The following is a 24,038-nucleotide window of genomic DNA, read 5'->3' on the forward strand; positions in this document are numbered from 1 at the left end:
TTTGGGAGGGCGAGGCAGATGGATCACCTGAGGTCAGGAGTTCGAGACCAGCCTAGTCAACATGGTGAAACCCCATCTCTACTAAAAATACAAAAATTAGCCGGGCGTGGTGGTGGGTGCTTCTAATCCCAGCTACTCAGGAGGCCAAGGCAGGAGATTTGCTTGAACCTGGGAGGCAGATGTTGCAGCGAGCTGAGATCACGCCACTGCACTCCAGCCTGGGCTACAAGAGCTAGACTCCATCCCAAAAAAACAAAGAAAAAAAAGTTTGATGGATGAAGCAGATGAGTTACTGTGGATCAGGACTGTGGAAAGCCCGCCAGTTAGACAAGGGATGTTGCCCTCACCCAAAGAGCAGATAAACACCATTGGTGCTGTTTGAGCTGGGCGGGGCAGATGATACCAGATCTTTAGCAAGATGAGTTTCACACCTGTGTACAGGAAGAAGCGTGTGAAAACAGGTCAAGAGGATCCTGAAATAAACCAAGTGTGAGAGTATCAAGGTGACAAAAGGGTAATGGAGGCTGGAATGTGAAGTTAGAGATAATCATTTTTTTAAATTATATTAAATTATATTTTATATTATATATATTAAATATTGATTTATTTTTTATAATTTATAATGATTTATATTAAATATCGACTGTTTGCCAGGCACCATAGTTAAAATGAGATAGACCAGTTCTCTCTCTCAAGAAGCTCCCACATCAAGTAGCCCTTGATGTGATTCACTCTGTGGTCTGCAGAAGTTGCCCCACCTCTCTGGTCCCCAGTCTCCTCTGTTACAGGGAAAAAGATTGCTCTGGGAGTTTTCAGAAGCCCCTTTGACTCCCAATAGGAACTTGCCTGGAGCAGGTACTTCCAAGGGAATGAGAGGAAAAGCACAGTGTTTAGCTGAGATAGGGGTAAATATGGTCCCCATCTTTTATTTTATTATAGAGATATAACTTTTAAATGATAGCTTTGTGTAGGTGATAGTGGAGCTGAGTGAGCTAAAGATTTTTTTTTTAATCTCATGATCTGAGTCTAGCTATCTGGAGTGGAGCAGGAAATGTGGTATCACTGATATGTAAAGAAATCAGTAAGGAGGGGCTCATTTGCAGATAAAAGGGAATAAAACCAGGGCAGGCATGCAGACACCATCATGGTAGCTAGACATATAAATGCAGAGATCCAAGATACCAACTTCAGCTTGGAGGGAGAAACAAGATCAAAGGAAGAGGGTTCAGCAGTTCTGTGCATGACACTGGGTCAGATCTCTTCCCTAGAACAAGATGCTCAATGGCTGTGTGCCCCAGAACAAGGTGCTCAGTGTCTCTGAGCTTCATGTCACTGTTGTGTAAAAGCAGCACTATGATAGGGGCCTCTTCATAGAGCAGCATTGAGTATCTTTGGTTTAACATGAGAAGAGTGACTGGCCCTGTAAGCTTCAGCAGATACTAACTAGTATCATTATAGCTCCTCCTCCTCTTCATGATGATTTATAGAATTGGTCAATTTTTCCAGGGAAAAGCAGTAGAGATGAGAGTAAGAGGATGCATTCATTCCATGCCTGCAAGACAGCCCAGCTGGGGAAGGTGAACTTCAGTGGTGGGGAGGAGTGAAAGGAATAGAAAATAGAGATTTGGGGAGGATAGGGTGGACTGGTTCCACACCTCTGAGACAGCAAAGACTCCAAGAAGTTTCTGAGCAAAGGTCACAGGACTTGATGATTTGGAGGTTACTGATGACTTTCGAAAGAGCAGCCAGTGAGGAATACAGGATTCTTCGTATGGAGACAGATTACAGAAAGAAGTCAAGTGAAGCAACAATATGCTCCTAGATACCGAATTTCCACAGCCTGGCAATCCTCAACAAAAGGGAGACCTGGGCTAGTTTTAGACTCGAGAATAGATCAAGGGCAATGTGTGTATGATCAGCAGGCTGCAGCTTCCATATTAACCTACGTTTTAAATGTCTTACATTCCTCTGGACAAAATAAATCAGCCCGGATGGAATTCGTTGCCACAATGATCTATAATGATCTATGATATGTCTTCTCATTTATAATGTCAAGCCCTTGGAGATAGGAGGCCCTCAATGTTTCTTTGAGACCTGAGATGAGAGGATGATCAATGAAAGTAAACGAAGAGGATCATGGTAAAGATCTCATGGTACCAAGAGGAAAACAACTGATAAACAGGGCTCATGGAAGTCCCTGTCCGCTGGGCAAAGGAGAAACGGCTCCCTTACCTGATCACACATCTTCGTCATGTCCTTCAGGGCCCCAGATCCTGTTCTAATGCAGAGCAGGAAGATGGTGACTTTTTGAAATTTCTGGAAATATCACTCGGTGAATCAAAGCAAATTAATTCTCTCTTTTAGTCACTCTGAGCCTGGATTTCCAGTCCTTGGAATTTCGCTTCTACCAACAGTTCTTTCAGAGTCATTTATGGTTCTAAATACACAGGATGCAGTTCCCACATCACCTCCCCTCATAACACCATGGGATGAATAATCATGGTGAAGACAAGGATCTGTGGCCAAATGATGGTTTCAAGTCCCTGTTCTGCAACTTGCCTAATGTGTCATCTTGGACAAATCCTTTATCCTCACTGCACCTTCGTTTTGTAAATAGGGACGTTAACGCTGGGACGTACTCTGCTGGTTTGTTTTGAAGAGAAAATGAGCTAATGCAAGGGAGAGGGAGCTCAGACCACAGATTTGTGCAGAGAAAGTGCCGAATAAGTGACGGCTGCTGTTTCTGTTTTTATTCTGCGAGGAACTCTAATAGAAGAAAAAGAGCATTTGATGACTGAATCACCGGTCTTCGCTAGCAGGGCAGAGGCAGATAGTTCCCCCGCCCCGACCCCGGGCCCAGCTGCTCATCACTGGGGTTGCAGAGTTCAATGCCGACATCCCAACTCTGACCCAGCACGGTGCCTACTGGGGAAGGCAGATATGGATAAACCACAGCAGCGCCCTGTGATTGATTCTTTGCCAGACGGTGGAGAAAGTGCACATTCCCAGATAGCTCCTGCAGGGAGGTTGCATGATGCCCACAAACCCACCTGTGAGGCCCATAAGCCTGGATGTTCTCTCTTAGCTGCTTAGGCTCTGCCCCTCAAAAGCGGAAATGTTGAGTGTGGAGTGCAGCTTGTTCTATGAATTTGAAGTACGTGGTCCCTGGGGTTGGACCAGCAACAAGTGACTCAGTCCCTCTGAGACTCTGTTTGCTCCTCTGAAAAATGGGTGGTGTTGTGGGGGACAATTTTCTACCTGATGAGCTCCTCATGAGGATCTATGTAAAGGGTAGTATCTGATTCATTACCAGGATTTTGTATGCTTTATAGGCATGCCAAATACAGCTGTATCTTACTTTATTAAATCGAACGGAAAAAAATGTGAAAATCAAGTTGTGTGTTAAATTTGATAAAGAGGGCCAGGGGCGGTGGCTTATGCCTGTAATCCCAGCAGTTTGGGAGGCCAAGGCAGGCAGATCACGAGGTCAGGAGATCGAGGCCATCCTGGCTAACATAGTGAAACCCTGTCTCTACTAAAAATATAAAAAATTAGCCAGGCATGGTGGAGGGCGCCTGTAGTCCCAGCTCCTTGGGAAGCTGAGGCAGGAGAATGGCGTGAACCCGGGAGGCGGAGCTTGCCGTGAGCCGAGATGGTGCCACTGCACTCCAGCCTGGGAGACAGAGCAAGACTCTGTCTCACAGAGAAAAAAAAATTGATAAAGAGAGTTCATGATGTAAAACAGTAGTTCTCAGCCTTGTGTGTGCGTCGGCATCCCCTGGAGGGCTTGTGAAAATCCATATGGCTGAGCCGCACCCCCAGAGTTACCAATTCCATAGGTCTGGGTAGAGTCTGAGAATCTGGATTTTTAATAAGCGCCCCCAGTGATGCTGCTGGTCTGGGGACCACACTTGGAGAAACACCTTCTTCAAGGAGTCACATGTTTCTGAAGCAAAGGAGAATCATTTGTCTTTGTATTACTCTGTTCTCACGCTGCTAATAAAGACATACCTGAGACTGGGCAATTTATAAAGGAAAGAAGTTTAATGACTCACAGTTCCACATGGCTGGGGAGGCCTCACAATCATGGCAGAAGGCGAAGGAGGAGCAAAGTTACATCTTACATGGCAGCAGGCAAGAGAAAGCATGTACAGGGAAACTCCCCTTTATAAAACCATCAGATCTCATGAGACTTATTCCCTATCATGAGAACAGCATGGAAAATACCTGCCCCCATGATTTAGTTACCTCCCACCAGGTCCCATCCACAACCTGTGGCAATTGTGGGAGCTACAATTCAAGATTTGGGTGGGGACACAGCCAAACCATACCACTCTTTTTTTCTTTTGTTTTTGTTTTTGCTTTTTTGAGACAGGCTCTTCCGCTGTCATCCAGGCTGGAGTACAGGCACTATCACAACTCACTGCAGCCTCAACTTCCTGGGCTCAAGAGATTCTCCCACCTCAGCCTCCTAAATAGCTGGGACCACTGGTATGCACCACCATGTGCAGCTAATTTTTTACTTTTTTGTAGAGACGAGGTCCCACTATATTACCCAGGCTGGTCTTGAACTCCTGGACTCAAGTGATCCTCCTATCTTGGCCTCGCAAAGTGCTGGCATTACAGGCATGTGCCACACGATGCCCAGTCCATTTTATTTCGTACTGAAATATTCTTCCTCCTATTTTTTCTTTTCAAACTGAACATCTTTATATTCGAGGTTAATTTAAAATGGAGCCTTCAGTGCATCTGGTATGTGTGTGAATTGGACCCAGCTCAGGGATTTTGCTCTTCTGTTTAATCTTTGCTTTTCCTGTGGACCCATGAGTGTCAGGACTGATATTTCTGATTTTTCCTTTGTGCCAAATTGAGCCTCATCTGCCCGGTCAGCCCTAATGTCACACGCACTCCCCACCGCCTGAGATTACAGGACAGGAGATACATTTCGATTCAAAGTTCTGAAAATATGATTAATCTCAAGACTGGAGAGAGAAAAGTTATTGGAAATATTTTCATAAAAATTAATGTTTATAGTCAACCTTGTGACAGTCGGTAGTATGTCAGCAATTCAGGTAAGGTTGTGTTTGTGTTTTCTTGTGCAGAGGATTTAGCTGCCTATAATCAGTTTCATGAAACCTTGCTCTTACATGACTCATTTTTTTCATTTATTCACTCATTTGTTCAGCAAGTGTTTATATTGATTACTTGGTGCCAAGTTCTATACTAGGCTGTGAAAACAGAGACAAATATAGACATCCTCTGTTCAGGCAATGAGAGCTTTGTAATAAGTTTCTTGTTTTTTAAGGACAAAGGCTTTTATGATTTTAGCATCACGTGGCTCCTCACTTTCTCGGTTCGTTTTGTGTTTGGTTGATGTTTTCGTTGTTGTTTTGCTTGGGGATGGTACTTGTTTCCTGCCCAGCAATTCTTGTAAGTAAGTAATAATATAGAATAACCAGATTTGTTGGGTTCCTGCAAAGACAAACATGATATTTAAAGAAGCTTGCAATTAAATAGAGAAAATAAACATCTAAAAATAGATGTACAATGCAGTGTGATGAGGAACAAGAGAAGTACCTCGGTGAAAGAAATAATGTATGTGTTTGTGATGTCTAGAGAAGTATTCGTGGATGAAGTGATACTGGAGGTGGGTTTTGGAAGGAGAAATCTCTTTCTCATATTATTAGTCTCAGTCAGTTTCCCCTCCTTTTGTTCCAGGAACACCAGCATTTCATTAGACTTAGACCCACTGTAAGCAAAGGGCTTAAGCACAAGTCCCTGGGGGAGAAACTCAACTCTGCCATCTTCTAGCTGTGTGCCTTTGGAAATCACTTAATTTTTGAGCCTATATGATGGAATACTACTCAGCCCTAAAAAGGAATGAATTGATGGCATTCACAGCCACCTGGATGGGATTGGAGACTATTATTCCAAGTGAAGTAACTGGGGAATGGAAAACCAAACATTGTGTGTTCTCATCTGTGGGAACTAAGCAATGAAGATGCAAAGACATAAGGATTGTACAATGGATTTTGGGGATTCGGGGGAAAGGGTGGGTAGTGTATGAGGGATAAAAGACTACAAATTGAGTTCAGTGTACACTGCTCAGGTGATGGATGCACCAAAATCTCACAAATTACCACTAAAGAACTTGCTCAGGTAACCAAATACCACCTGTTCCCCAAAAACCTATGGAAACAAAAAAATTAAAAATAAAATGAAAAACAACATTGATCATGAAAAAAACATGAATAACATTACACCCCACACAGGATTGTTGAAAGAAACAAAAGAAAATATTATTTAAAAAGCACTTAGCATCGTGTCTGACATGTTATAAGCACTTAATAAAATCATAGTTGCCTTAGTTATTATAATTATCACAATGTTGATGGGTGTCCTACAATACGAAGTGGACGGAGTCAGGGCTGGGGAATTGAGTCTATCTGTGGGGTGTGCGTCTGTTTAATGGTGGGGTTCTCAGATCCTTGCATGTACAAGGGCATTGTGAATTGGCTGTATGTGGGCAATGTTCTCTGCCGTACTCCCGAACTTGTTTAAAAAGGAAACTCTTTATCCACCATGTATCTCCACCATGTATCTGTGAGAGCTGGGACTCTGCAGATCACTTATTGGTTCACAGCCTCCCCAAATCAGCCTGCTCTGTTCAGGGGACCATATGTGCCTGATAATGACCCTGCCTTTGTAGTCCATGGTCAAAAGCTTGCCATGAGTCTGTAGTGCCAGCTCAAATGGCATCATGCTGTGCTCCTGCCTTCCCAAGCAGGGTGTGCACGCAGGCACCCTCTGAAGGCTAGGTTCTAGATATCCTCTCATCTTTATCTTTGCAACTTTATCCTGGCTTCTAAGGGGCATGGGTGTTTCACTGTCACTATCTGTGGAAAAATTGATTCAGTCTGCATGTTCCGTGAAACACTAGGAGATTCTCCAAAAGAAGCCTCAGTTAGCAACTGCAAGTATGCAAAACAGGTATATTAAGGGGTGATGACTCACCTCAGAAAAGGAACCTCTGTTTATAGAAAAGATTAACCAGAAGACGTCTTTAAATTACATCCATCTCTGGGCATAGCTTGTGGGTGTCTGAGAAAATGATTGAGAAGTAAAATCTGTTTTGTGTGCATGATACACATTCCCAAATAAGCCCAAAAGAAATCAAAGTGACAGTTTGATTTACCTTTTTTAATTCAGAAAATACCTTTTCAATATTGACACTAGAAATCAGCCCTAATTATTCCCCTCTGACTTTGCTACTTTGTCTTTCCTTCTCATCTGTGTCCACTTGCTTCCTATTGCATTATATATTTTACTTTGCATTTAATGTATCATAAGCACATCCCAGATTGCTGTATGGTCCTTATCATTATAATTTTTAATGACTGTGTAATGGTCCATCAAGTAGCTGAGTCTAATTTATTTGGCCATTTTCCTATGGTTAAACATCTAGGCCATCGATTTTCTGCCATTTTTAGCTGTAGAAACTGTGTTTTAAGAAACCATATGTAGAACCTAAATATGTTCTATTGATTTTTTTTTTTTGATATAGAGTCTTGCTATTACACAGGCAGGATTGCAGTGGCATGATCTCAGCTCACTGCAACCTCCACCTCCCGGGTTCCAGCAATTCTCTTGCCTCAGCCTCCTGAGTAGCTGGGATTACAGGCCCCTGCCACCACACCTGGCTAAGTTTTGTATTTTTTTAGTAGAGAATGGGGTTTCACCATGTTGACCAGGCTGGTCTCGAACTCCTGACCTCAAGTGATCCACCCGCCTCAGCCTCCCAAAGTGCTGAGATTACAGGCATGAGTCACCATGCCCAGCTCTCTATTGATTATTTGTGAATACTTCAGCTTATTTAATTTTCAAAGTAATCTTTAAAATCGGAGCCATTGTTATCACACTTTCTAAGTGAAAATTGATGCTCAGAGAGATTGTAGAGTTTGCTCAAGTCTGGATACCTAGCAGGTTATAGACCTGAGACATGAACCCACGTATCTCTGACTTTCAGAGGGTGGATTTTTCATCAGTGAACAATACAACTTGGACCATGTGGAGTGAGACAAGGAAACTGGCAAGGCCCAAGAGATTCACTAACCCCCTCTAAACCTGCCCCTGATGAATGGCAGATGGACATTCAACCAATGACAGCTGTTTCTGAGCATCTAAAATGCAGGGAGCCTGGTGTGATCACTGGCCCACCTGAGGCTCTGGGGGATGAGTCGCAGGTTCCATCCATTGCTGCCGTGTCTCTGTTTGGTTTAGAAGTGGCTTTCTCCAAGGACGTGAATGTTCATTTTAGTGCACCTTCTGGATTTTCTCCTCTTCCCTAGATATTTGCTTTTGTGTATTCCCACGCAGGAGCTTCAGCCATTGCTACACGTGGCTCCTTCTTGTGCTCTTCTCTGCTTCCAGCTGCGTTTTCCTCAAAGGCTTTCTGGTATCCGTCAATCCCTAGATCTCTAAGAACCTTGAGCTTTGCAATTTATCCCTCTTCAGAATCCTATATGTCAGTGGCATTGGCGGAGTGGGTGGACACCTGGACAACTGTTCCTGCTTTCCATTCGTTTTCCTTTGTCACTTAAAGTGCAGGGCCAGGGCAGCATCTCTTCTGTTAGTGGCGCAGCTTTCCCTGTGGACAAGTCTCCCTTTCCTTCTCTGTGCTAGCTGGAAACAAATCACTAATTAAATTTCATCTCTCGCAGCTCTGGAAAAACGACAGACTAGTGCTTCCAATTAATTTCATCAACAGTGTGGAATAAGAGGCATGTTGCATCCTGTAAAGACAGCAGGGCTGAGGGGAGGAGGCTCCCACTGCTGTTACCCTGCTGTCTGTCTTCAGCGAGGCTGGAGTTCTGAGCCTTTCTCACCTGCGTTCCAATATCCAGCCCTGGCTTGCTTAGAGGGTGAGAAGACTGCATTTCTTCATCCACCAAACACCAGTGGGGAGTCACCTGTGTGCCAGGCACCACGAGCCTCCCACTGTTGATAGAACAGCAAACAAGGCAGACACATTCCCTGCTCTGGAGATAGTGCCAGACAAAAATAAGGATGTCGGGATGTGGCAGTTACAGGTGTCTCTGAACATTTCACTAAATCGAATGGACCAGGGCCAACGACCTAGAGACAGGAAAGGGACTGGTTGAGCACAGTGAGGCCCCGTCTTAGGTAAAGAGGATACAGAAATAGATCAACATGGTCCCGGGCTTTGGAAAAATCCAAACTGGTGAGAAAGTTACCTGAGGGGTCAGTTGCAGTACAACGTGAAAGACGTCATGACAGTAGAATGCACGGGGAACCCTGGGTTCAGGGGAGGGGACTTTTGCCCTTTGTGGGTTCAGAGGCAACTGCAAGGAAGAGCAGATACTTGAGCCATTTTCAAGAGTGTGCCAGATGGGCTAATGGAAGGAAGGGCATTTCAGACGCTGAGAAGTCCGGGGCAGGCTATGTTTAGGAAGCAGTGAATGATGTGTTGCATCAGAAAGATACCCTAGGGGGCTGGGCGCAGGGTTCATGACCGTAATCCCAGCACTTTGGGAGGCCAAGGCGGGCAGATCACCTGAGGTCAGGAGTTCGAGACCAGCCTGGCCAATATGGCAAAACCCCGTCTCTACTAAAAATACAAAAATTAGCCAGGCATGGTGGCACACACCTGTAATCCCAGCTACTCAGGAGGCTGAGGCAGGAGAGTCACTTGAACCTGGGAGGCGGATGTTGCAGTGAGCTGAGAAGATGCCACTGCACTCCAGCCTGGGTGACAGAGTAAGACTCTGCCTAAAATAATAAAAAGAAAGATCCCCTAGGGCATGTCCCTGATGGAGCTGAAATGCCAGGTAAGCAAGAGGCAGGTTACTAGGGGTCTGATATGGCTTGATTTTGACTTTGGGCTTCATCTCAGAGGCGATGGAGGATGGAGTCCAAGCCAAAACACCTGGGCACCGGCCCAAGCTCTGCCACGTCCCTGGTATGACCTTGGCGAGCTCCGCAGTTCCTTTAATCACTGGGGGTAATAAGAGCACTGACACCTTACGGTTGTTTTGGGGATTAGACCCAAGAATACACATGAAACACTCAGCACGTGCCTGGGCTTTAAGCGTTTGATAAACATTACCTCTAATTGTTACAGCTTAGTAGTGTCTGTGTTAGTATTGATCACCATGGTGGGCAGCCAGGCAGGGTGGGCACTGAAGGGCTTTGAAGTCAGAAGGACATAGGATCTATTCTGCCTTGCCATCACTCATTACATAGCCCCAGACACGTCACTTACCTCCCTTACCCCCTCTGCTTTTCAATTAAGGATTGTGTGTGTCTGCCACCCAGCCCCAGCTTCAGCACATGGATCCTCAATAAATCACAGATGTTGTCGTTGTCATCATCATCATCTACCTCTATTATCCTCAACAACAATGACATCCACAGTAGCAATAAGCAGGAGGAGCACCTAAGGCAGACTCTGCTTTAGAGAGATGAGTTCAGGGCTTGAGGCTGAAAGACAGGGAACCAGCAGGCCAGGCCATGCAAGCCTTGCAGCTAAAAGACAGGGAACCAGCAGGCCAGGCCGAGCCAAGCCAATAGTCACTGACCCACTCCGCATCCAAGATCCCTGAGGCAAAATCTGAAAACACACATGTTAGGAAAGACATTTGTCTCTCTCCCAGATTTCTGATTTGACAGGTCATGGCACCCTAAATTTGCATTTTCAAAAGCTCCCCAGGGAATTTTGCTTTTCCAGCAGGCGTCTGAGAACCCTCATCGGACATACGCAGTGATGCTGGTAAAGCCTGAGCAGAAACAAAAGAGGGTCCCGGGGGCAGAATGGGAGGCAGCTCTGGGTCTCTTAAGATGGCCCTGGTGTGCTAAGTGCACCAGAGGTAGGAACTCACCCACTGTCGCCATTACAGACAGAACGCTCCTAACAGAGAGCTTCCAAGAAACCCCAGGGCTTTCCTCGTCTGCTGGGACGTCTCTGTCTTCCTGTGCCTGCTCCTGCTGGATCCAGGATCCCAGGCTGGCTCCAACTCAAGATCTGCTGTTTCTCCTGTACTTGACACCTGGTTCTTTGGGCTGTTCCTTTGTTGATCTGTTATTGTTTACTTTTTAGTCGCCTTTGAATTACCAAACTAAGTCATTCTTGTAGCAAAATCTCAAGCACAGAAATGACTACATTAAAATGAGCCTTCCACCTCTCCTAATTCCTCCCCAACACTTCCCAACATCATCGCCATTAACAACTGTGTGTAGTCCTCTTATATTTTCCTTTCCTTAAATATAACTACATATCTACAGACAGGTCTTTGTTTTGATATGATTTTACAAACCTATGGAGTTATAGAATGGAGTTCATCTTATAACTCATCTCCCCCCACTACAAAAAATCTTGTGGTCATCTTTCCATGACAATACAAATTCTTACTATTTTTTCATAGCTATGGTAGCCTTGTAACTTATTTACTGATTTCCCTTTTTCAGCCATCTTCCTGTTGTTTTGCAAACCCAGGCCACCCAGCAACAATCTTCTTTATATACTGTCTTTTCATACTGACACTTCTCAGTCCTGTTGGATGAATTCCCAATGGTGCGATTGCTCATTTCTGACATTCTGTCTGCTGATCGTGGGCCACAGCACCGGTTGTCTCTTTCTCTGACTCAACCCAAGTCTGATGAGATTTCAGTTTCACTGCAGCATTGCAGCAATGAGAAAACATCCCATCATGCACTGCTTCTAGATATTGTCAAGAGAAGGGTATATTATTATGCAAAAGCAGTGTCTATTTACAGATGATGAAACGACAATTTTTCATGGGGTTTTTCTTTTTATTTAACATCTTAACTGTCAATTCCAACAAACACACTTGTTTTCCTCTATGACTAATCTAAGAACCAAGATGGCCAACAGCACAATACCAACTTTTTGTTTGTTTGGTTTTTAAATATGGCAAAATTATATATGAGCTTCCCATTTTACAGGTTTCTAAGAACATCTTAATGAAAATAACAGAACTCAGAAAATCCACTGTCATTTTGTCCAGAAATATTTTGTTAGCATTGGGATGCAGCAATGCCATTGACAAGAAACCCATGTGGACCACCTTTTAATGCTTAATGAGCCTTTCTTCCTAGCATGCATTCCAGTGGGAGAGAGGACAGAATAAACGTGATTAAATTATCGGACAGAAACACATGACTATAAATAATTGACTCTCCCATGTTTCATGAGCCTTAACCTCACACTTCAGAATGTTTATTTCCTTTATTTCAAAATGTTTGTTTACTTTTCTCCATGGACTTTAATTAATTTTGCCTTTGGCTTATAAACGGGTGAAACTAAAAACTTTTTTATTTGCATTTTTATCTTGAAGCAAGCTAACTAATTAAACTTTGCAATTTGGTTTCACTGTGCTGTACCAGAGCCATAGGAAAATGGCTGACAGATTCGCAGATTTGTGACCGTTTTTCTAATGAAGGAGATTTTGGAAATTTTGATGGTTTCATGTAAATGCTAAAGGTAAAACCTGTATTAAGAGTCACTTGATCACAGGAAGAAAAATAACCAAATGACTCAACTGCATAAGGAGGTGAAAGGAAGGATCTAGAAACTACATACCAGTAAACGTCCCCTGAGTACCACAAAAAGTGTAGAATGGAGTATGAGCATTGTAGTTTTCAATAGTGTTACTCAACTGGTAGAAAAGAGGAATGCCCAAGGCATAATTCACATAGATTTCAGTCTGATATGCAACAGGTTCTTCCATGAGATGTGAGGGCTTAAAAGAAAAGGTAGAGATTGAAGACGTTATCTTTTAAAAGATACTCACAGCACATTTAATTGATAGGGGATCAGTAACAAGATTATATAAAGAACTTCTAAACTCAATAAGATAGCAAAAAAAAGTAAAAAATAACTAAGAGATAAAAACAGTCATTTCACAGAATAAGAAAAATGACTAATGTATAAAAAACTGTTCACACTCATTGGCCATTGCTAAAATTCCAGTAACAATTAGATGTATTTATATAATTTTATGTCTTCCTGATTGGTAAATATTAAGCCTAGAAATGCCAAGCTTTGGCAATAACAGGAAAACAGAGACCCTCGCTGACTGCTGTTCAGAGAGTAAATTTGTACAACAACTTTGAAGAACAGTTTGTCATTATCTACCAAAGTGGAAGATGTGTAACCTATCCCTAAGATAATCTCTGCAAGGAATTCTCATTTATGCCCCTGGGCACAGAGACAAGAACACTCCTAGAAGCATTTCTAGCAATAGCAAAATAGGAAATGGCCTACATGCTCATTGATGGAAGCATAGCTCCGTACCCGGCAGTGTGTACGTCTGATGAACTGCAGCAAGGATGGTGGATCTCCAGGACATGCATATGTGGAAAACACAGTCTGCAGAAAAATACAAACAGATGATTTCATTTATATAGAGTTCAAAAAAACAGGAAAAACTATTAGGTTTAGAAACAGATAAGAAGTAAAACTATGAAGCAAAACAATGAATAATAGATTTAAAATTGCAGATAGCCTGAGTGCAGTGGCTTGCACCTGTAAACCCAGCATTTTGGGAGGCCGAGGCGGGAGGATTGCTTTAGCCTAGGATTTTGTCCAAGATCAGCCTGGGCAACATAGCGAGATGTTGTCTCTACAAATAATTAAAAAAAAAAAAAAAGTTGGGCATGGCGGCCCATGCCTATGGTCCTAGCTGCTTGGGATGCTTAAGCCTGGGCAGTCGAGGTTGCTGTGATCACTCCACTGCACTCCAGCCTGGGTGACAGAATTAGACCTTGTCTCAAAACACACACACACGCACACACACACACACACACACACACAGAACAAACACTGCAGATAGCCATTTTCCTAAGAGGAAAGGTAGCAGGCTAAGATCATGGAGGAACACACAGGAGCTGCAGTGGTATCGTAATGTGATATTTCTTAAGCTGGGTGGTGGATACAAGTGTTGACTGTACTATTTATTATACCTTGCTATATGTTGTATATGCATGTGTGTATATAGGTACATATACACATACATGTATATGTACATATTCCTATTTATATATAAAATATATAGCTTTTAATGGAAAAGAGGAAGTATCAGCTATGTAACATTTATCAGGCATGAATCTTATCTCATTCAACATTTTTATCAATAATTTATTAAAATCTGGCTCATCCAGAGCAGGTGAGGGATGATGATGATTGAATCAGGTTTTCTGAAAGGCATGGACAAGCTCCAGCCATGAACTGATTATTTAATGGAACAGAGGTGAAGATGAAATCTTCCCCTTGAGATTCTTAAAAACCAGTTCACTAAATTGAGGTGAGACCCCCGCCTTTGTTAAACAGCAATTCATGCACAAACAATATTGGGGTCTTAGTTGACAAGTTCAAAAGGAGCCTTCTGTACAAGTGTCTGCCCAGAGAGCTAATTTCCACTCTAGGAAGAGTGATCATCCTGCAACAGCTAGCATGCATCAAGGTGTATCTTGTATAGTTTTCTCCCAGCATCTTGATTTGAATAGAGAGTTGACAAATCAAAGCATGGTCAGAGGGTGGTAACTAGCAATGTAAAAGATCAGCTTGTAAGTTTGTAGCTCATCGGAGGGGAATGTATAAGAGCTATAGTGGAACTTCGAGGTTTCCAGAAGATCGATTCTGGCTCTGTGTACCCAAGATCTCACCAAAGCCAAACATACCCCAGAAAGCAGTGGCCTGCCTTGTAAGGTATGAGCTCAGGTCCCTGGATGTGTTTAGGCAAAGGCTGTACACCTCCCTGTCCCTACATGTGTGCTGAAAGGTGGGCTCCATGGCTCCAACATCCCTTCCACTTCGTGGCTCTCATGAGTCTATAAGAGTAACCCAAGAGAAGTCACCAGCAGAAACTTGGAAATCGTTTTAACAGGGGCCAAGAGGGAAACATGGGGCAGTGCATGACTGACAGCTGTGCTCTGTCACTTCTACATCTGCCTTGCAGTTCTTCAAGCAGCCATGAGCCCCTGCAGGCAAACCTGTGGTCTGTTCAGCAGGACCTGTCTCTGCTGCCTTAGCCCCTGGGAAAGGGAAGCAATGCTGTGGCTCCATTTTCAGCAGCGGGCAAGGAAAAGAACTTGGGTTCGAGAGTTTCACAACTTGAGATTGAATCTCCTTCTGCCTCCTTTCAGTTATATAGTCTCAAGTGCTTATCTTCCTTTCTCTGAATTTCAGTTTCTAGCTCTTTAAACAAGGGTCAGGGACAGCTTACTATTGCAGAAGGTGGTGAGATCAAGAAAGAAATTAGAGGCAAGGTGCAGTGGCTTACGCCTGTAATCCCAGCACTTTGGGAGGCCAACGCGAGCAGGAGTTTGAGGTCAGGAGTTTGAGACCAGCCTGGCCAACATGGTGAAACCCCATCTCTATTAAAAATACAAAAAAAATAAATTAGCCAGGTGTGATGGCCCATGCCTGCAACTTGCTACTCAGGAGGCTGAGGCAGCAGAATCACTTGAACCTGGAAGGTGGAGGTTGCAGTAAGTCAAGATCATGCCACTGCACTCCAGCCTGGGTGACAGAGTGAGATTCTGCCTCAGATAAAAAGAAAGAAATTGGAGCACCTGGTATATATTGCTTTCTCAATGCCCAACCCTGAAACATCTCTAATACTATTTGTTCACTTACTCATCAATTTGTCCAATAAAAGTTTATGTAATACCTAGATCCTAGGTACCTGGTGGCCTCTGAGCCATTGGGAATATGCTTGTGGAAATACACCCTCCTCTCGAGGAAGCTATGGTCTTGTAGCTGAGACTGATCACCCAACAGACAATGGTAAACCCAGTGTGCCAAGCTCTAGGCAGAGGATAAAACCACGAAGACAAGCAGAATGGAAGAGGAGGAAAATATAACACTGCCTCGGGAAGGAGTGTTGGGGCAGACTTTCTAGTGTAATGAAAGATGAGCAGAAATTATTTGAGATGAAGCAGGAACAACCTGGGGCAGGGGCATTGAAGATTCTATTGCTGAATGAACAGCAGGGACCAAGGCCCAGGCGTCAGATAGCACAGCCAGCTGGTGAAAGTTCAAGTTAAGTGCATCAGCCAGGATGGGCCAGCTTATGCTGTCATAGTAAAGTACCCAAAATGCAGCGATTCACAATAAAAACAGTTCATTTCTTCCCATTATCTCTATCCTCCAGGGACTGGCTGGGGGCTCGGCTCCATGTCACCCTCTCTCTGGCATTCAGGCTGACAGAGTGGCCACTTTGCAGAACAGCGGCAGTGGTTGTGCAGAGGAAGATGGCATACCACACTACACACAGGCTCTTGAAGCTTTCACATGAAAGTGGCATGCAGGCCAGGTGCAATGGCTCCTGCTTGTAATCCCAGCGCTTTGGCAGGCCACAGCAGGAGGTTCACTTGAGCTTAAGAGTTCAAGACCAGTCTGGGCAACATAGTGAGACCCCCATCATTATAAAAATTTTAAAAATTTAACCGGGCATGGTGGTGCACACCTGTGGTCCTAGAAACTTGGGAGGGGCTGAGGTGGGAGGACCACTTGAGCCCAGGAGGTCAGGGCTGCAGTGAGCTATGATCACATCTCTGCATTCCGGCCTAGGTAACTGAGTGAGACTCTGTCTCCAAAAAAAGCAAAGAAAGTGGCTTGGAGCACTTCGGATTCTGTTTCATAGGCCAGGTAAGTCACAGGGCCACTCGTAAATCCAACAGGGGAAGACAGTGCAGTCCTTCTGTGTGGCCAGAAGGAGAACTAGAAGTATCAGTTGACAGCACTAAGGACCACCACTTTTGTAGCAGGAGAAGGGGGTCGTCTGGAGTGGGAGAGGGTGAGAAAGAAACATCAGCCAGATTCGGAAGCTCCTTTATGCTATGTTCTAGGGGGATTTTATTGTTTTGTTTTGTTTTGTTTTGAGACAGAGTCTTGCCTTGTTATCTAGGCTGGAGTGCAGTGGTGTGATCTCAGCTCACTGCAACCTCTACCGTCCTGGTTCAGGCAGTCTCTTGAGTATCTGGGATTACAGGCACACACCACTATGTCCGGCTAAATTTTGCTGGGCATGGTGGCTCACGCCTGTAATCCCAGCACTTTGGGAGGCCAAGGTGGGTGGATCATGTGAAGTCAGGAGTTCAAGACCAGCCTGGCCAACATGGTGAAACCCTGTCTTTACTAAAAATACAAAATGAGCCGGGCGTGATGGCACATCCCTGTAATCCCAGCTACTAAGGAGGCTGAAGCAGGAGAATCGCTTGAACCGAGGAGGTGGAGGTTGCAGTGAGCCAAGATCGTGCCATTGCACTCCAGCCTGGGCAACGAGAGTGAAACTCAGTCTCAAATAAATAAATAAATTTTGTAGTTTTAGTAGAGATGGGATTTCACCACATTGGCCAGGCTGGTCTTGAACTCCTGACCTCAGGTGATCCACCCGCCTTGAGCTCCCAACATGCTGGGATTACAGACATGAGCCACCACACCTGGCCCTCCTCTTATTACAAGGATACCCCAAGGCTGGACGGAATGCCTGCCCTAATCCACCATAACCTCATTTTAACTAATTACATCCGAAAAGACACATTCTGAGATTCTGGGTAGACGTGAATTTGGGGAGGACCCTAGTCAACCTAGTACAGAAAGTGATAATGTATTTTTGATGGGGTTTCACCAAGTTGCCCAGGTGGGTCTTGAACGCCTGACCTCAAGTGATCTCCCTGCCTCGGCCTCCCAAAGTACTGAGATTACAGGCATGAGCCACTAGATTTTTTACTGTATCTAGCAAGGGCCATTGCAGGATATCAAGTCTGGGAATGACACAGTTTCTCATTTCAGAACCATTGAATTGGATACAGCCTGAGTAGTATTCATTCATTTTTTCCACAAGCATTTGGGTGGTGACAGAAGGCGGCAGACAAAGTCCCCCCATCACATTTGGCAAAGAGGGTTGCGGGGATTCATTAATCAACGAGCTAAACAAATGAATTTGTAATGTTTCAGATGGTGATAAGTTGCAAGAGTAAAAATAAAGATGGGATAACAGGAGCTGACAGCCTGTTAGAGAAAGCCAGAAGTGTTAAGGTGTGAGGAGCGAATGGGCTAGACAGCTACAAAGGCGACAGAAGCAACATAACTGAGTGAGCTTCTAGAATTACAAGAGGGTCCCTGAGATAAAATCTATAGCAACGCCTAGGGCAGGAGGCTTTGATAAACATGATTTGCATCTGAGTTTGGAGTTGGAATAGCTCTTTTGAAGCACTCTGTCCCCATGGACATAGATGTAACACCAACCCTTTCCAGGAGAGTGGGTAACAGACAAGCCACTCAGCCGGTTTTATTAAGATGGAAATTTTCACAAGGGCTAAAATAAAGATTCAAGTCAATGGAAGCCGCCTTTTTAATTGATAAGAGCAGCTCAGCAGTAAAGGAAATAGGAGATGCTTGATGCCTGTGTCGTTCTAGTGTTGGGGAATTATATGGAACACTCAAAGCAGACCTCCCCATCAGCTCAGAGACAATTGATGGTCTGTGCATGTCCTTGTGAGGCTTTCTGTGGGGTAGGATGAGATTAGAAGCAAAGTTGCCTCTTTTACTCTTCTGGTTTCATTCTTCACTCTGGCAGTCAGCACAATTCACAGGTGTATCAGCCGAGGAAGCATCTCACAAACTCTATTCTCTCTTACTTCCATGCCATTTTGGCACCGTGAACTTGAAATCACTGGTGGTGTTCTCTTTACCCTGCTGGAATCACAGACACTGCAAGTTGAAAGTCACCCAGAGGCGATCTGATGTTTTCCTTCCTCTACAGGGAGGAGAAGTCTCTTCTGCTTTTCACAGCAGGTGTCATTCAACCTACACACATGTGCTGAACCACAGGAGCTTGTGGTCTCTCGAGGCAGGACCACCCCCCGCAACCCCATGGTCAAGCAGCCCCTGCAGTAGCCTTGTTCTTCCCCAAGACCCATCACCCGTCCTAGCTGGGAGCCACGTGACGTTACGCTGTTTCCGTTTAAGCATGAAGTCATTCAAAAGTTGGAAGGTAGCACGCTCCCATTTTAGAACTGTTGTGCCAAACCCTATTAACCTCAGTAAGGAAGACACCAGGTTCAAGAGGCTGAAGAAGAGACCCAGAGCCAGCAAAGGAGGCATGGGGTTTTATTAGGGGCTTACATCCAGGCAAGAGAGTCTAGCGGCAATAAGCTGGACATTAGAACCGCCTTATATACAGAAACAGTCCAGCAACAGAGGGCTGGATAAGATTTCACCTTCCTATGATCCACTGTCAGCAGGCTAGATGACATAAGCACACAGCCTAGTGGCAGTGGGCTGGGGAGGAAAACTGCAAACATCATGCAATTTATATAACATTTTCCCTTAACACACTCCCCCTAATGACCTCCACCTGGCAACCTTCATCAACCCAAAACTCAGGGCCTCAATGTGTACAGCTCATGTCCCATGGAATGAAACGGAGTGGGGGGCTCAGATGTTTATCATAGACAAGGAACAAATCTCCTGGTCGACCTCTCCTGGATTCCCTAGTTTGGAACACACATTCAGGTGCATCTGCCATCCTGGGTCATCCCAAGGGTATGCTTAAGTCACTGTTATCAGATGCATTTACCCTACAGGAACACCTTCACATCATGTTAGCCCAATTCCTTTCTTTCTTTGTATCATTGCTTCCCTTTAAATCTAAAAAGAAGATTAAGTCTTCCATGCCAAGCCAAGCCCAATTACTACAATCAGTCTTTATATGGCAGTACCCCACCATCTAGACTGCCGACTAACTTCTCTCCTCCTGATAGTCTCTGCTTTATGTATTTTCCTTAAAAACCACAGGAACCAGCTGGATCCAGGACTCCAGCCACAATCCAAGGGCCAGAGTAGAGGGTTCTAAAATTTCTCCATAAAATTTACTTCTCGATACAAGAAAGCAATATAAGCCATAATGGCTGACATTCCAGAAAAACACTCTTACCAAGCCCCGGCTCTCAGTAAACTCAAACGCATCTCTCTGCTCAAACGTTTTGTGGTTCCAAGAGAAAACAAATACACCGTGCACATTTTTCTTTCTTTAAAGATTGGAAAGAAATGAAGAAAAGACTTGTCTTGTCCATGTTTTTATAGAAAAATATAAAGCATGTCTCCTCTGTGACAGATTTCTTTTCCTGTAAATCCAGCAAGCCCATGAAAGAGCTTATGTGTGAGCGGATGTCACACATTCATCTTCCCCAGCCACTTTGCTGCGTTTCTGAAAAGATAACATAGATGCCTGGAGTGCAGACATCTTGAGATTTAGGAGCTGGCGCCTTACAGCTCTTTGTGAATTGAGCCTAGAAAACGTGTCTGTTTTTAGCTGACCCCAAGAACAGAACTGGCAACCGCTTCGTGCAGAGGAGTCTTCCTCCACGGAGTTGGTTCTCAAGAAACTGACGCTGAAACTTTCTTTGGGCACGAGACACCTGTGTGCTTCTCATATTTGGACCCAATGCTGTTCCTTCTGCCCTCTGCTGTCTGTGTCGTTCCTGGCTGCAGAACACAGCCCCCAAGCAGAGATGCTGAGTCCTCAGGACCCAACCCACCACACACCGGCTGTGTAACCCTGAGCCAGTCACTTCTGTTCTCCCACTAACCAAACAAGGACAATAATGGAGTCTTCCTGGGGTCCGATGTGCACACTGGTACTCAGCACAGTACCCTGGGCAGCATAAACAGTCCGTTTGACAGGGTGAATCAAGGCTTTCTGTCATGAGGCTTTCTGTGAGGTAGGATGAGGTTAGAAGCAAAGTTGCCTCTTTTTCTCCTCTGGTTCCATTCTTCACTCTGGCAGTCAGCACAGTTCACAGGTGTATCAGCTGAGGAAGCATCTCACAAACTGTCTTCTCTCTTGCTTCCATGCCCTTTTGGCACCGTGAACTTGAAATCACTGGCATGATGAGATCAAGTCCTATTCCTTGGACCTTGTCCATGTGATCTGATTTGGAAGAAGAGTCTTTGCAGTTGTGATTTATTGAAGGGTCTGGGGATGAGAGTACTGTGGATTATCCAGGTGGGCCCTGAATGCCATCACAGGTGTTCTTAGAAGAAAGAGGCAACAGGAGAGAACACAGGTGCACAGAAGCACAGGCAAGGTGAAGGCAGGGCAGAGAGAGATGTGGCCGCCAGCCAAAGAATGTAGATAGCTACCAAAGCTGCATATGGTAAGGAAGAGACCTCCCCTAGAGTGTCCAGGGAGCACAGCCCCGCCCACACCTTGACTTCTGACCTGAAGCCTTCAGAACTGTGAGAGACCAAATATCCGAAATCCTAAGCCACCCAGTTCGTGGTATTTGTTACAGCATCCCCAGGAAATAGATTTAGTGAGTGAAGGGTGAGCCATTTGCATTAGCAGAACACAGAACTGAGGAGACAGAAACCCAGCCACACTTGTGTGAGGCGTAGGGCAAATCTTTCCTAGATAATAACTCAAATCATTCAGACTGCTGCCTCTCTGCCTCTCCCTTTCTGTCTCTTTTCACCGCCTCTCCTTCCCTTCTTTGTTCTTGATGAAGTTGAGCTGCCTATAAATCATCGTCCTGTGTAAAGTTTTTAAAATTTTATTTTAAGTTCTGGGATACGTGTGCAGAATGTGCAGGTTTCTTACATAGGTAAACGTGTGCCATGGTGGTTTGCTGAACCTATCAACCCATCACCTAGGCATTAAGCCCTGCACGCATTAGCCCAGTGTAAACTTTGATCTCCCTTTGGATGCCAGCTGATTCTTTCTTCCATTGCCCGTGGGTTTCTGATTGCCCACCATTGCTAAAGCGAGTTGTATAGGCTGCAGGAACAGGTGCACAGGACTCTACGGCTTTCCCTGGTATATCTTTTCTCTGCTGAGGTCAGACTTTTAGATGGCAATACTTTTTAGTTTTGCTGGGCCAGATGTGTTTCCAGGAGGTGGAATTCAGCAGAAGCAGAAAGTTCAAGGCCGTGGAAGATAGCAGTTCAAGTGGCAGCTGCTAAGGGCTTTTCAACTCAGTGTTTTTTCAGCTTGACTTGCAAATAGAGCCTGAAAGTTCCCAACTCTTAAAAATGTTCAGTGTGTCCAGTCTTATAGCAGGAGGAAGAATTTGAAGATGGCCAGTGTTGCTGTTTCTCAGGCCCTAATATTTCTTTGTGCTCAGTGAACGGGCAAGTTATCCTGAGGAAGAAAATATTTCAGAGGCTTCAGTGCTAAGTATTAATCAAATAGGTCGGGGGTCGAGCAGGCCTTCCACAGTCATTCATACAGGAAAAACATATTGAGGCTGGCCCCACCCTATATCTCAGCGGGGAATAACTAAAGCTATTCAAGAGTCACCTTACATCCACGGTGAGCCACATTTCCTGATACCAGATGCTTTCAGGGCAACCTTGATCATGGGTTTTTGTCTATTGCATCTTCATGCTGCAAGAAAATTCTGTGTGTAAGCATCTCTGTCTCCCAGCAAAATGTGGCCAGTGGAAGGTCCACATGAGGCCTTTTCAGTCTGGCATCCACAGCACTAGCACAGGGCCTGCCACAAAATAGGCCCCCATAAAGACTGGGGTTGAATAAAATGCATTGTTTGCAACACGTAGGCATGATTTCTTCTTTCCTGCGGTGGGGGATGGGACTGACCCATCAAAGCACATCTCATATTTGAAATGTATGAGATTCTTGGATAGTGCAAAATACAATGTGTGCATTACACACTGAGGAGGCTGCTGCAGTTTCTCCAAACCCCTACAGGCTGGGAGACTTTTAAGAGACCCTTAGACAGTGTCACCTTTGTTTATGCAGTTTTCATAAATTTCTTTTACTTGGCCGTAGTCTCTGGGTGATACTTGTTGTAACAGGCAACTATTACAGTACAAGATATCCTGCTTCAGATCTGTGCAGCTCTCCTGGGCTCTTAGTTGGAGTGAATCAAAGCCCCTGCACACACATACACCTGTGTGCACACTCTCGCTTTGACATTCACCTATCCCTCTACTTCCCACCTCCAGAACCCTCTGCTGCTGGTGTTTTTCTGTGTGTTTGTTTTAGATTTTTGCTTTTTTTAGAGAAAGGTGTCTCACCATGTTGCCCAGGCTAGTCTCGAACTCCTGAGCTCAAACAATCCTTCCGCCTCAGTCTCCCAAACTGCTGGGATTACAGATGTGAGCACTACACCCAGCCAATCTCTGCTGCTTCTTGCTCATGGCACCATCCCTTTGGCTATCAAAAGGTAGCTCTCCTGGCCATCCCTTTGCATAGGCCATAGTGGAAGCTTATAATTTGATCTTGGTTTTTTCCTTTAGCTTTGTCCTTTCTGAAATTCTTCATTTTAGCCTAGATTCCTCTTATAATAGAGCATAACATTCCAGCAGTGCTCAAGGATGATTCATTGCCTCAAAGTTGCCACCTCTGAAAGAGTGTAATATGTCCACCCTACTCATTGGCAGGAGGGAGAATCTGATTCTTCTACCCCTTCTGCTGCTCCAAATGATAATAGCAGCCACCACAACCACAGGCTCAGCAGATAACACGCCTAGCCCAGAGCTGCACGTCCTCTGCCTCTCATTTGCCCACCACAGATACCCAATAAAATAGACACCGCTAGTATGAGCTTCCTTTTGTGGCTGTGATGAATTGCTACATATTTATGGTTTAAAATGTGCAAATTTATCTTTTTACACTTGGGTCAGAAGTCCAAAATCGGTCTCATTGGGTTAAAGTCAAGGTGTAGGCAAGGCTGGTTCCTTCCAGAGGCTCCAGGGGAGAATCCACTTTCTTGATTTTTCCAGCTTCTCGGGTCACCTGCACTCCTTGGCTCCTGACGCCTTCCTTGGTCTTCAAAGCCAGCAGTGTGGCGTCTCCAGATATCTTTCTTTGACTTCTGCTTCCCTGTTCACATCTCCTTCTCTGACTCCCATGTCTCTCTCTTACAAGGACCTTGTTGGGCCCACCCAGATAATCTAGGATAAGCCCCTCATCTCAAGATCTTTAATGACATTGACTAAGTTTCTTTTACCCTGTAAGATAACATGG

General features: G+C 44.6%; 1 protein-coding gene across 6 annotated transcripts in view, besides 1 other annotated feature; it reads left to right on the plus strand.

Moving 5' to 3' along the window:
* CDH13 (cadherin 13) overlaps nt 1-24,038 on the plus strand; it is a 1,173,672-nt gene that overhangs the window by 820,201 nt on the left and 329,433 nt on the right. The gene's annotated exons all lie outside the window — the stretch shown is intronic.
* Nucleotides 11,506-11,675: an enhancer, noted in NCBI's record as "active region_11230". NCBI's record gives its function as "activates an Ori minimal core promoter by ATAC-STARR-seq in GM12878 lymphoblastoid cells {active_cell/tissue: GM12878}" and the evidence as "EXISTENCE:reporter gene assay evidence [ECO:0000049][PMID:35858748]".

The sequence above is a fragment of the Homo sapiens genome, chromosome 16, assembly GCF_000001405.40.
Source record: "Homo sapiens chromosome 16, GRCh38.p14 Primary Assembly".
NCBI classification, from domain to species: domain Eukaryota; kingdom Metazoa; phylum Chordata; class Mammalia; order Primates; family Hominidae; genus Homo; species Homo sapiens.